Here is a 13,184-nt window from a genome sequence, read left to right as displayed (position 1 = left end):
ATGAACAGCATGCAGCTGCTTGAGAAAAATCCATGCAGCTTTGGAGAGTGAAACTAGAAGGAATGAACTGTGGCAGGGGGTGTGTGTGTGTGGATGTATATGCTGTGTGTGCATGTATGTGTTTGTGTGTGTATTTATGCATTGTGTAAATGCCTGTGTGCACATTTATGTGTGTGCATGCATGTGTGTATATGAATGTGTGTGTTGTATGTGTATGTGCATGTGTGTGCATGTATGGATGTGTGTACATGTGTACAAGAATACATGTGTGTATGTGCATGTGTTCGGGCAGCATAATCAGAAGACAGGGAGAAAAGGGAAGCAAGAGAAAGAGATTATCTACATACCTAAGGAATTATTGACTAAAATAGAATCAGCTCTTTCAATAACCCATCTACCCACTCCCCACAGCAAAAGCAAAGTCAAATACAATTAGGGATGGAGGAATGCCTTTTTATCTAAGGGAGGAAGCATAAAACAAAAAGTAAGCAAGCTAAGAAAAATAGACCTCTACCTCATTTTTTTTTTCACCAAATCCAAAACATACTGCCTATAACATTGGCCGTTTACAATGGCAATTAACATCAATCCTAGGGTCTAATTAACCTCAATCAACAAGTCTAAGTAGGTTAATTAAATAGGATTTGGCTAAGCATGAAGCACAAAAATACAGCTGTCTCATTTAAATGTGATTTACTAAGGAAAGTCATCATTTACCAAAGTTTTTGTCTTTCTTTTCACACAGCAAAGCATAATGGGTGGTGGGGTTGTGGACAAGTGGGGATGTCATTCAGAGACTGATTCTTTGGGGATTTCTTCGGTAATAGGCAGTCCCACATAACTCAAATATTATCTCCTGGTTATCTGCACTCATCTCAAGCTCATCTTCTTTATGAAGCATCAACTCATCCCTTTGTTGTTTGTTTCACTCCTGTCCCGCCCACCGCCACCTCCTTATGTTATAAATTCCCTCCGGGTACAGAGCCTATGTGATTCATCCTTGTCTTCTTAAAATCATCAAGCATAGTGCTTTGTGAGTAGTAAGTACCCAATTAATTGTTCCTTTAATTGGATTTTCAGCAAAATGCACTTTTTTCTCACCACAACCTCAATCATAATTTGGATTTCTGGGTTTTAGGATAAGACTGTCCAGGCCAGCCAGGCATAGTGGCTCATGTCTATAATCCCAGCACTTTGGGAGGTGGAGACAGGAGGCTTGCTGGAGGCCAGCTGTTTAAGACCAGCCTGGACAACAAAGTGAGACCCCCTCATCTCCTGAAAAAATAATTTTAACAAATTAGCTGGGTGTGGGGACATAAGCCTGTAGTCCCAGCTACTTGGGAGGCTGAGGTGGAAAGATAGTTTGACCCCAGGAGTTTGAGGTTACAGTGAGCCATGATGGTGCCACTGCACTGTACTCGGCCTGGGTGACAAAGCAAGACCCTGTGTCTAAAAAAAACAAAGAAGTAAACAAAGACTGTCCAGGCCCTCCACGGAGGGTGGCATCCCAATCGCACACTGTGGCCTTTTTCGTCCTTTCCTTTCCTCAGTGCCCTGTTCACTACCCTGCAATGGTCCCCTCTGCATAATCCATCTTTCACCACGGTGTGGTTCAGGCCAACTTCATCAATTGTTGCATCAAAAGCCCTGAATGTGCTACTTTCAAAAGTACTCAACTGTGTCCACACTAGGACTGTCATGCACAGAGGCCACCACTTACGTCCTGTATTAGTTCATTCTCATGCTGCTAATAAAGACATACCAGAGACTGGATAATTTATAAAGGAAAGAGGTTTAATTGACTCACAGTGTTGCAGGGCTGGTAAGGCCCCAGGAAACTTACAATCATGGTGGAAGAGGAAGCAAACACACCCTTCTTCACATGATGGCAGGAAGGAAAAGTGCAGAGCGAAGTGGGGGGAAGCCCCTTATAAAACCATCAGATCTCATGAGAACTCACTCACTATCATGAGAACAGCATGGAAGTAACTGCCCCCATGATTCAATTACCACCCACAGGGTCCCTCCCACGACATGTGGGAACTATGGGAACTAGAGTTCAAGGTGAGATTTGGGTGGGGACACAGCCAAACCATATCAGGTCCCAAGGCCACACTGGCCAATTCTCATTCCACATCAATTCCATGATTATTCAATGTCTACCGGAAAAGTGTGCCTAGATGAATACATGATTTTTTAGAAGCATTTCAAGTTGCGTAAGCATAGCTACCTTCTCAATCTCATACCTAAGTCTGACAGGTGACAGTCTGAGAGCTGACAATCTAAAAGTGAATAGAAGATCCTTCCTGGGCCTGAGTGCTGAGATCACAGAATCTAGACTGGAAAGAACCTTTGAAATCCGCCGGTTCAACTTCCTCATTTTACACATGTGGAATAATCCAGTGACAGGGTCACACCACTGGGGAGACAGAAGCCAGAGTCACTGACAATAGCCCAGAGCTCCTTCTCTGCCCTTGTTGCTCCTCTGGTCGGGAGGGAGCTGCCATCATCCCATCAGGAATAAGAGCACAGTGTCACACAGCTGGCTATGCCTCCACTGGATACACACAACTGCAGAGTCCAGCTGAATTATGAGGCATTCATCAGGGATTCGCTGCTATCCAGGCTAGAAAGGGAGAGCACCACTCCATATGGAGAGCACCATCCCGTATGAATCACCAGCTCAGGACCAGGGATGGTGCTAGGCACTTATTTGCATGTCTAATCTCTTTTTGTTTTTGTTTTTCAGAGACAGTGTCTCACTTTGTTGCCCAGCTGGTCTCGAACTCCTGGCTTCAAGTGATTCTCCTGCCTCAGTCTCCCAAAGTGCTGGGATTATAGGTACGAGCCACCACGTCTGGCCCATTATCATATTTAATCTTAATAAGAAATTCAAAAAAATCATTTAAATTCTTAGTTTTAGGCTTGAAAGCTAAGGCTCAATTTCGGCTTTCCAAACCAGACTTTCAAATCGTACATTTTTCACACCAGCTGAGCTAGAAAATCAGGCAAGTTAGGCTAAAGACGATATGGGCAGTCCTGTCTAGAACTTTGGCTAACTCATGAGCCACTTATCTTAGACAAAGTAACTTCACACACTCTCTCTCTCTCCAATCTCATCCTCCACTGTCTGCTACACATTGATACTTGCTTTTTCCTTTGTTTTTAAGCAGACTCTGTCTAAAACTGCTCTTATCATATGGCCCCTAGAACTGCTTCTCTTCTTAATTCTTCCATGCCTGTTTTAGGTGACCCCACCATCTGGTCACTCAGGAGGGAAGCTCAGAGTCATTGCCGACTACTGCCCTCACCTGCAACTCTGCTGCCACCTGCAAGATCTATCTTCTATATTACATTCACTGCCTGGGGAAGACCCCACCCCAGGTCAAGCATCTCTTCCCCAGCTCCAGCCTGTCAACCAAGACCAGGTTCTTCATTTCATAGACAGCTTTCAACCTAAATATTACATCCCTGGCCAGCACTGTCTAACAAAACTTTCTGTGATGATGGAAATGTTCTATATCTGCGCAGTTCAATATGGTAGCCACTGGTCATATGTGGTTGTTGAGTACTTGAAATGTGACTTGTGTGACTATATAACTGAATTTTTTGTTCCTTCTTTGTTCATTTGTTTTTGTTTTTGCTATTTTCTCTTGAGTTTAATGGATTTAAATCTAAGTAGCCCCAAGTGGCTAGTTGCAGCTATATTGGATAGCATGATTCTAGGCAAAAGTGTCACTCTCTGGAACATGCCTTGCTGGTTCTCTATCCTCACATTTCCATAAAAGCAGGAACAGTGCCATTTTGTTCACTGCTGCAACCCTAGTGCTTAGATAAGGGCTTGACATGTGGTAGGTGCCCAAGACATATTTTTAATGAACAAATGTAGTCTGTCTCTTCCACCTATCCAACTCTTTCCCAGTGTTCAAACTTTGATACTGTTTACATTTTGCAAAAAAAAAAAAAAAATCAAAAGCATGTGATATCATGTAGCTCATTTGGCTTATGAAATACTGGTGTGTTTGATGTATTCTCACATGCTCATTTGCTTTATATGTTCTCATTTCTTGAGGGAAGAGGTAGGTCATGTGACCTTTGGATCCCACCACACCAAATGCTGGACATCACAAATAGCTGGGTTTGCTCACCCTTGGTTGCATGAACAGACTGCTTCTTTCATTTAGTTCCCTCACCGAGGTCTAAGGGCACCAACACTGCACTTTCTTCCCAGCTCAGGCTTATCCTAATCCCCTGCTCCTGTCGACTCTGCAGATACTTCTTCCAGGCCTGATTTCTCAGATGACAAAGGTGAATCTTAGCTGGTCTCAGTGCAGTGGTGGCTTCTCTTTTATAGCAGCTAGAGACATTCTTGGCCACACTTTGTCCTGATACCCAAGAAAGCAGCAGAATGGTGTAGGGAGAAGTCCAGTGGTGTGACCCTGACTGGGTTTCTCCAGTTTCAGAATCCAAATCACCAGAGTTGCCATCCCTGACTCCCGGGGCTGACGCAGTAAATGTCTGTGAAAGTATTTTTAAAGTATAAAATCCTGGACAAATGAAAAATAGTTACGTTGGCACACAGCTGAGTCACGGAGATTTTAGGTAAATTATGAGTGTAAAATATTTAGTTCATTCATTCAATATTTAATGAGCAAAAGCATCATCCTGGTCAGTGGGTTAATCTCATTGAGTAAGACCAATGCAGTTCTAGACTCAAAGAGCATCATTCCAGTACTAGAGACAATTTTAAACCATACGCATAAGAAAGTGTGTCACACTGTGGCATGAAAGGCAATGCAGGGTCGTCCTTGCAAGGATGAGTGCTGGAGGAGGCATGAGCTAGATGCAGGTGGTGGGGCAAACAGGACGGCATGTGCAAAGGCCCTGAGGTGGGAAGGAGGCTGGACACTTGAAGCAGAAGTCAGGGTGGTGGACGCAAGAGAGGCAGGACTGGGGATAGGTGGCAGGTGAGGCTGAAGGGAGGGCCAGGACCAGGCCAGGGGAGCTCTGTAGATGGAGATTTTATCTCAAAAGCGATGGAAACCACTGGAGAGTTTGAACAAGGCAGTGGTATAAGCAGATTGGCATTTCTAAGATTCCCCTGGGAGCACTGTGGAGAGCAGATTGGGAGTGAGCAAGAGAAAACTGAGAGAAGAGCCAGGTGGCTCTCACAGTGCCCTGGGCAAGGGATGGTCTCGATTCAACCTGTGGTGTCAGCAGAGACAATAGAATGTAGAGATGAATGTATAGATTCAATAGCTACTTAATTAGTAAAATCAAGACTCCTTGATTGATTGCTGTGAATGAAAGTGAAAGAAAGAAATAATAATAGCCATAATAAAGCCCAAAGCAACATATCACCTACTATGGATGTGTATTGTTCAATTATCATTACCTCCATGTTACAGATGAAGGCATGAAAGATTAATTAACTCACTCCTGTCCCAGAAGGAGTAAGTTGTAGAGCTGAGATTGGAATCCACATAGCTTGGCTTCAGAGTATGTGAAGACGGTACAAGCCTTTTGTAACAAGGATGATGTTTGACTTTCTCCCTCCCAGTGCTAGGCACTGTGATAGGAACATCGTAGGGAGATGAGGTATGAGGCTCTGGAGGGAAGACCACCCTAAGTACATCTTTGGAGGTGCGATCCTTGTGAGATGTTCAATAAGCAGCTGGACACACCAGTATGGAGTGCAGAAAAATATTCTGGACTGGGGATACAGAGAGTTGTCTACATCTGGGTAATTGAAGACCTTGTATTAGATTGGGGGTCAGCAAACTATGGCCCAGAGGCCATATTCAGCCTGTCACCTGTTCTTGTAAATAAAGTTTTATTGGAACACAGCTAAGACCATTTTTGTACCTACCATCTATAGCTGCTTTCTTCCTACAATGGCAGAGATGAAAAGTGGCAACAGGGACCACATGACCTACATACCTTGAATACTTACTATCTGGCCATTTACAAAAAATATTGGCCAACCCTGGTTTGGATGAAGTCACCCAGACAGAGAGAGACAATATATGAAAAGGGAATTTAACCACCATGGTTAAAGGCAAGATAGGGAAGAAATAACTACAAAGGGGGAGTGAGAAGGACAGAGAAGTATAAAAAAGAAAAAAGGAGCAAAGAAGGAAGGGAGGAAATGGCATCAAAGGAGGCAAGAAAAGAGTGTTACAGAAAGAGGGAGAGGTCTGCTGCATAAATGTTGCCCAATGGCCAGGAAAGATTATTGGAAACTCCCCAACAGATTCAGCAACATAGAGATTATAGGTAAATCTGGATACAGTTCAGGGCACTGTTGGGGCTGGAGGCTGGACTGAGGCAGATGGAGGAGAAAGAAGAAAGTGATCGCAGCAGAAAGAAGCAGAAAGAAGAAAAGATCGCACCAGCACCATGCGTAAGTGATGTGGGTGCTAAGATAGAGGAAGAGGTAAGGCAGTGGCTAAGAGATGAGGGCATGGTGAGTATTCAGTTGAATCAAAATAGTTTTGTTCTTAAGCTTAAAATGGATCTGATTAACTGTCTTACAATCAAAGCAAACTTGTCAGTTTTTAGATGGTCATTAAGTCAACACTAGATGCAGAGAATTTTCTACTTTGTAGTCGGTGTGAGATACTCAGTTTTACTTGATTGAGTGCAAATAGAGAATTTCACTAAGTGAATATGAAATCACAGCTTATAATTATACCTACAGATGGTACGTTTCAAGTTGCTAGTGCTTACTCTGTGTTTGCACCATCCTAAGCGCATACATTTATTTGCTTCTCACAATAACTCCATGAAGTCTATATCATCATCTTCCTCACTGTATCAATAAGGGATCTGAGGCACAGAGAGGTCAGGTGACTTACCCAAAGTCAAACAGTATTTAGTAAAGCAGTGAGAGGTCAAGTCCAGTCCATCTATACTTTACTTCTCCGGTAAAAGAATGGTACAAATTTTACATCTTCGACTACATTTAAATTAAACCTACATGTGCATAACATGTTACATTTCTCAGGGCACATGCGTATTGGACCTTCTTATCGTTTTTTGGGGGTTAAACGGCATCAATATTGCTATGCTCTTACTATGATCATTCACAGATGCAGAAACTGAGGCTCGGAAAGGCCAATTACCCCAACTAAGGTCACAGGTCAGTCAGTGACACCACCTGGACCAGAAGCTAAGCTTTCTGACTAGTGATCTGGTTCCCTGTCTATAGCTCATTGTCTTCAGGGAAAGGTATCAATGTTCCAATATTTTCAAACTAACAAAACGTCTCTGCACTTTCAATGTTCTGATTCCAGGGACCAAGTAAACTGCTTCATTCACTTTCCCAAGATCTTTCAAGAAAAAATATAGACTGAATTTTCAGATTGCTTGACACTGGCAGAGTGAAATGGTTTGCTAAGCTCTTCTAAAAATGACTCACCAGTAGCTCGTTTAACTACCGTAACTTTGTGTGCTACTCTTACAAGATATTTTTACTTCTCAACATATAAAACGTTTACTTAAGGATATGTTTTTTTCTTGTTCCTCTTCTTCCTCTTCTTCTTCTTCTTCTTCCTCTTCTTCTTCTCCTCTTCCTCCTCCTCCTCCTTCTCCTCCTTCTCCTCCTTCTTCTTCTTCTCCTCCTTCTGTTTTTTTGGTTCGGTTTGTTTTTGGGGTGTTTTTTTTTTTTGAGACAGAATCTCTTTGTGTTGACCAGGCTGGAGTGCAGTGGCACCATCATGGCTCACTGTGGCCTCTACCTCCCAGGCTCAAGTGATCCTCCTGCCTTGGCCTCCTAAAGTGCTGGAATTACAAGAGTGAGTCACTGCACTCAGCCCCTTTAAATATGATACTAACAAAATATCTTCAAATTACAACTTCTAAGTCAGTGATCTTGAATAAAGCTACAGTGACATTTTCATTTTGTTAGTAACGTGTTTTCCTCTGTTTTAACATTTTGCCTATGTAGGCAAGAGCTAAGTGTCTCATATATCTCCAAAGGCAATTTACCATGCTATCCCTTTTTATCTTCACCAAAACTCAGCCAGAATGAAAAGATGTTTTCTCAGAATAATTCTGGGGTTCTACAAGAGTGTGTGAGGTCAAGGCCTCTTAGCTTGGCCCTGTTCCACAGCTTGCTCAACATGGTGCTAACCTGGTCTTCCCGGTCTCCTGAAGCAGGCCCATGGTCTGGGAAATGGAAGAAGGTAGAGTGCTACTTCATCCATTGCAGTGCTTCAGAAGCTTGTATTATCAACCATTGCTGCCTGCTCCCTAATTAAAGGCAGGGAGTCCCTCAATCCAGGAATGCTTGTGGAATCTACACCCTGCTGCTTCTCTGCAACATTACATGTTCAAAGACACATAACAGCACATTCAGAAACACATTAACAGTCTTCCTTTTTTTTTTTTTTTTTTTTCTGAGACAGAGTCTGACTGTCGCCCAGGCTGGAGTGCAGTGGCACGATCTTGGCTCACTGCAACCTCCTGCCTCAGCCTCCTGAGTAGCTGGGATTACAGGCACCTGCCACTATGCCCAGCTAATTTTTGTATTTTTAGTAGAGATGGGGTTTCACCATGTTGGCCAGGCTGGTCTTGAACTCCTGACCTCAGACGAACCACTCACCTCGGCCTCCCAAGGTGCTGGGATTACAGGCATGAGCTACCATGCCCAGCCAACAGTCCTCACTTTAAACTTCAGTGTGCAAAGAACTATGGTGCAAAGACCAAAAAAGTGTGCAAGACCTTCATGAAAAGACTGTTCAAACTTTATGGAAAGATCAGAAATTAAACTGAAGAACAATAAGAGGATATGAGGTTCCACACAAGAAGATTAATACTTTATCTCTTCTGTCCAAGTCTACATATTAAAAGAAATGCTAAATGATACCTGTATGCACATAGCACTTTATAGTTCTCAAAGCAGATGCTTGTTCGAGCTGCAAACACTTTGGGAAGAGTAGGCTTTCAACAGATAGATGCTGTAATCGTCTTATTATCTTCATTTCACCAATGAAGAAACAGGCTCTGACTGCTATATTATTTGCCAGAAATCAATGGGTGAGTAAGTAATACAGCCAAAATAAAATCAGAGTATTTATCAAAGTTCCCAAATTGTGTTACTACTTTTGTTTGGTTGGTTTGATTTTACTTGAATAGTGATTATAAAATTCATCTAGTAAAATAACTGGCTAAAAAATTTCTGGTGAAAAATGAGGCGGTCTCTCCAAAACATAAAAGAAAGCTACAAGTTACTACTACAAATTAAAACAATGTGGAGGCTGTCTGTGGTGGCTCATGCCTGTAAGCCTAGCACTCTGGGAGGCTGAGGCAGGAGGATCACTTGAGCCCTGGGGTTCAAGGCTGCAGTGAGCTATAATCATGCCACTGCACTCCAGCCTGGGCAACAGATGAAGACCCTATCTCTAAATAAATAAATAGATAAAACAGTGTGGAAATGGTTCCAGAATACCTAAACCATTTGAGGTTTACCATGGATGTGGTGGTGCATGAAGTAGAACAGAAAGTCCAAAAACAGTTAATTTTGAAATTTTCATAGGATAATAGCCTTATTTAGAATTAGTGGCAAAAAGATGAATTAATTGTTAAATAATTGGGTTTGGGACAATGGGTTAATTATATTTTTTAAGTTAGATTATTATCCACACAATACTGAATAAATTCAAAATAAATTAAAGATTTTAATGTAAAACACAAAATTATAGGAGTACTAGAAAAATTTTAAGTGGAATACATTATAGCCTTTGGGTGCAAAGAACCTTTCTTAGCATGACATCAAAGCTAGAAGTCACGAGAAAAAATATTCTTATAGGAATAATTGTACAACCGTTACATTTCTACTATTTGATGTCAGTTGCCAAACAGTTTTAATGTTAATGACATGTAAAATGCTTAGCATATAGTTTTGCATGTTTTTTTTTTTTTTTTTTTTTTTTTTTTTTTTTTTTTTGAGACCGACTCTCACTCTGTTGCCAGGCTGGAGGTGCAGCAGCATGATCTCAGCTCACTGCAACCTCTGCCTCCCGGGTTCAAGCGATTCCCCTGCCTCTGCCTCCTGAGTAGCTGGGACTACAGGCTCGTGCCACCCCACCCAGCTAATTTTTTTTTTTTTTTTTTGTATTTTAGTAGAGAGGGGATTTCACCAAGTTGGCCATGATGGTCTCAATCACCTGACCTCATGATCTGCCTGCCTCGGCCTCCCAGAGTGCTGGGATTACAGGTTTGACCCACCGTGCCCGGCCTTTACATGATTTTTTAAAAGCAGCATACGAAACTGTTTACTCCATATTTTATGTTATTTTGAGAATGTAAATTAAAATACCTACAAGAAGAAACTGTGAAAAATATCATCAGTAGTTATCTCTGGGTAGTAAGATTGTGACTGGTTTTTATTCTGTTATCTATTTGTGGTTTTTAAAGATTTCTTATATTTGTAATTTTTATAGACAAAGAAGAATAAAATAAATATAATGAAATTAATAATTATGTAAAATTTGCTATATATTTCAGAGTTTTCTTGCCTATTAAATACTTATTTTTGTAAATAATAATGAGCTATCCTTAGCCAAACATGCAGTACCCAACTTTGACATCCTTCTCCTCTCTGTCTTGCCACTTTGGCCCCTCTTTAAGCCAGCTGTTAGTAAACATTCTGCACTCATTTTCTGTTAGACTGCAGATCAATGTTCAAATGCAATAAGCCCTGAGTACCTGTAAGTCCTAAGAAAGGATTGGTGTTACCTGTACCTCCCCCTATCACGGGCAAACAAAGCCTTCTTTGTAGCCATCAGCATCAGTGCTCTTACACATTCTAACTTAAAGTCTAAAAGACAGCATGGAGCTTTCTGAAGGATAAAGACAATGCGTAGCCTTTAGAGGCTTATGTCTTCACCTTCTGCAAATTCCAATAAAATGAAAATGGGAGAATGAAAATGGTACCATTTAAACTAAAGCAGGAAATGGGGTATTAGTGTGTGTGAAATTTCTGCAAAATTTAGATGAAATACTGGACAGAACAGGGAAACTTGTCTCTGTGAAATGCCTGCCTATGGAGACCAGTGGGAGCCAAAACTAACAGGCATGCAGTTAGCAGACCATTTAGAAAAGAGCTATCTTGTTCAGCAGAATACCAGACAGACTCAGGAATTTGTGGCATCAGAAACAGGCAGCATCAAGCTGTGTTGGGGCCCGTCCTCCACCTCCACCCAGAACACCAACATTCAAGTGCCCAATCCACTCCATCCCACCCAAGTCGGAAGATGTTGTGTTTTGTTTTTATTTTCTCATGGAAAAGTTAATGAGAGAAGCTAGGGATTTGGAAGCCCTGGCCTTAGCTGAAAGCGAAGTGAATCATGAGACTGGAAACAGGGGTGCTTATTCAAAATGTGCATATAGCATGGTTACATCCTTGGCCGTTGGCAAAGACAGCATCCTGGTCACCCAGACATTTCTGCAGAAACTGACTAGCTGCAGAGAAAGACCTCCACATTCTGATTTGTGGAATTCCTCAAACAAAACAGCCAGCTCCCCACCACTTAACCCAAAATGAAGTTTTCCAGTTGGTAATCCCCATCCAAGTTCACAGAAGATGTTAAGGAAAAAAAAAACAACATGAAGAAGAGCCCAAAATAAAGAAAAATGAAGTCAAAAGAGATCACAATAATGTAGGAGCTAAAAGAAGAAACACAATGCATTCTATTGCATCCATAAAACAAGAATAAGATGTTATAGTAAAAGAAAAATCAGAAAACAAAGAATTCCTGAAAAGTAGAAAGATAGAAGACATTTTAAAAATCCAAAATGTGGGTGGGATATAGGATAGAAGAAATCTACACACAGAACAGAAAATGAATATTCAACAAATATTGACTGCAAACCTCCCACATCCCAGGCAGTGTTTCAGGTGGTGGGAATAACAAAGTGAACAAAATTGAAAGAAATCTCTGCCCTCGTAGAACTGACATTCCATAAAAAGAAGTGAAATATATGAGAAAAAATAAGGTAGTAAAGGACAAATCCAGGTGACCCAATACCCTAGAAAATACAAATTCCAGAAAAAGCAGAGAACAGAGAGATGGAATGAAACTGTCAAAGAAATAGTACAAGAAAATTTTCAGAACCAAAGCATACAATTCACTAGATTGAAAGAACTAAACAAATGTCTGTCACAACCAAAGAAAAAAGGTACATGTAATAACAGATCAGAAATCCAAAGATGGAGATACCTAAATAATATATCTAAAGATCTAGATCTAAACATAAGTTACCTGCAAAGAAAAAGAATTAGAATTCTCAGTAGAAATAATGAACATTGTAAGGTGCCAGATTGAGGCCCAATATATTATGGAGAAAATCTTTTTAACTTAGATACCTATAACTAGTCATATTGTTAAGTCAATTATGAGAACAGAATAAAGATATATTCAGGTGTTTGAGTACCCAGAAATTAAGCTTCCATTAACTCTTTTGTACATTGCTACTGGAGAATATTGTCCAGGATATTAGACAAGAAACATCCTTGTCTAGCTCTCCTATAGGAGAGCTTCAAAATAAGTTCAAGGCTAATGGTGGTATGAAAGTCCAGAATTACAACGAATCTAAATTAAAATAAGAAGGTGAAGGGTCCAAGTTATATAATTGTGAATGTTATAATACAGACTTGAATGTGAATGCAACTCCAAAGAATGTACTCATAAATTTCCACCAATAATCCACATGGCACATCAAAAGCCCAGACCTGCTCTGAAGAGGACAAATCCATTATAAAGATCATTATTATGTAACAACCTTGAAAACGCTAAGCTGAGAAGTTATCTGCCTGGACAAGTGTGTTATGTCTATAACAGAGACCCTGGTGTTAAAAAGAAAGAGGTGGATCGACATGTATGTATGGAACAATCTCCAGACATATTGGTAAGTGAAAACAAGCAAACTGTAGAATTCTTACTTAGGACACCAAACTTCATGCTATAAAAGTGAAAGGCACATTTAGAAATATGTTTGTATCTACAGAGAATTATCCTCTGAAGAAAATTCAAGAAACATAGTAGTTTTCTCTGAGGAAGAGAACCAGAAAACTGGGAGACAGGGGTGGAAGAATTATTTAGTCTCACGGAATTTCTTTACCATACGCATGTTTATTTAATCAAAAACGGATTCATTAAATTTATAAACAAAGTTAATGT

The sequence above is a fragment of the Homo sapiens genome, chromosome 10 (genome assembly GCF_000001405.40).
Source record: "Homo sapiens chromosome 10, GRCh38.p14 Primary Assembly".
Classification (NCBI taxonomy): domain Eukaryota; kingdom Metazoa; phylum Chordata; class Mammalia; order Primates; family Hominidae; genus Homo; species Homo sapiens.
This window is presented reverse-complemented; position numbering follows the sequence as displayed.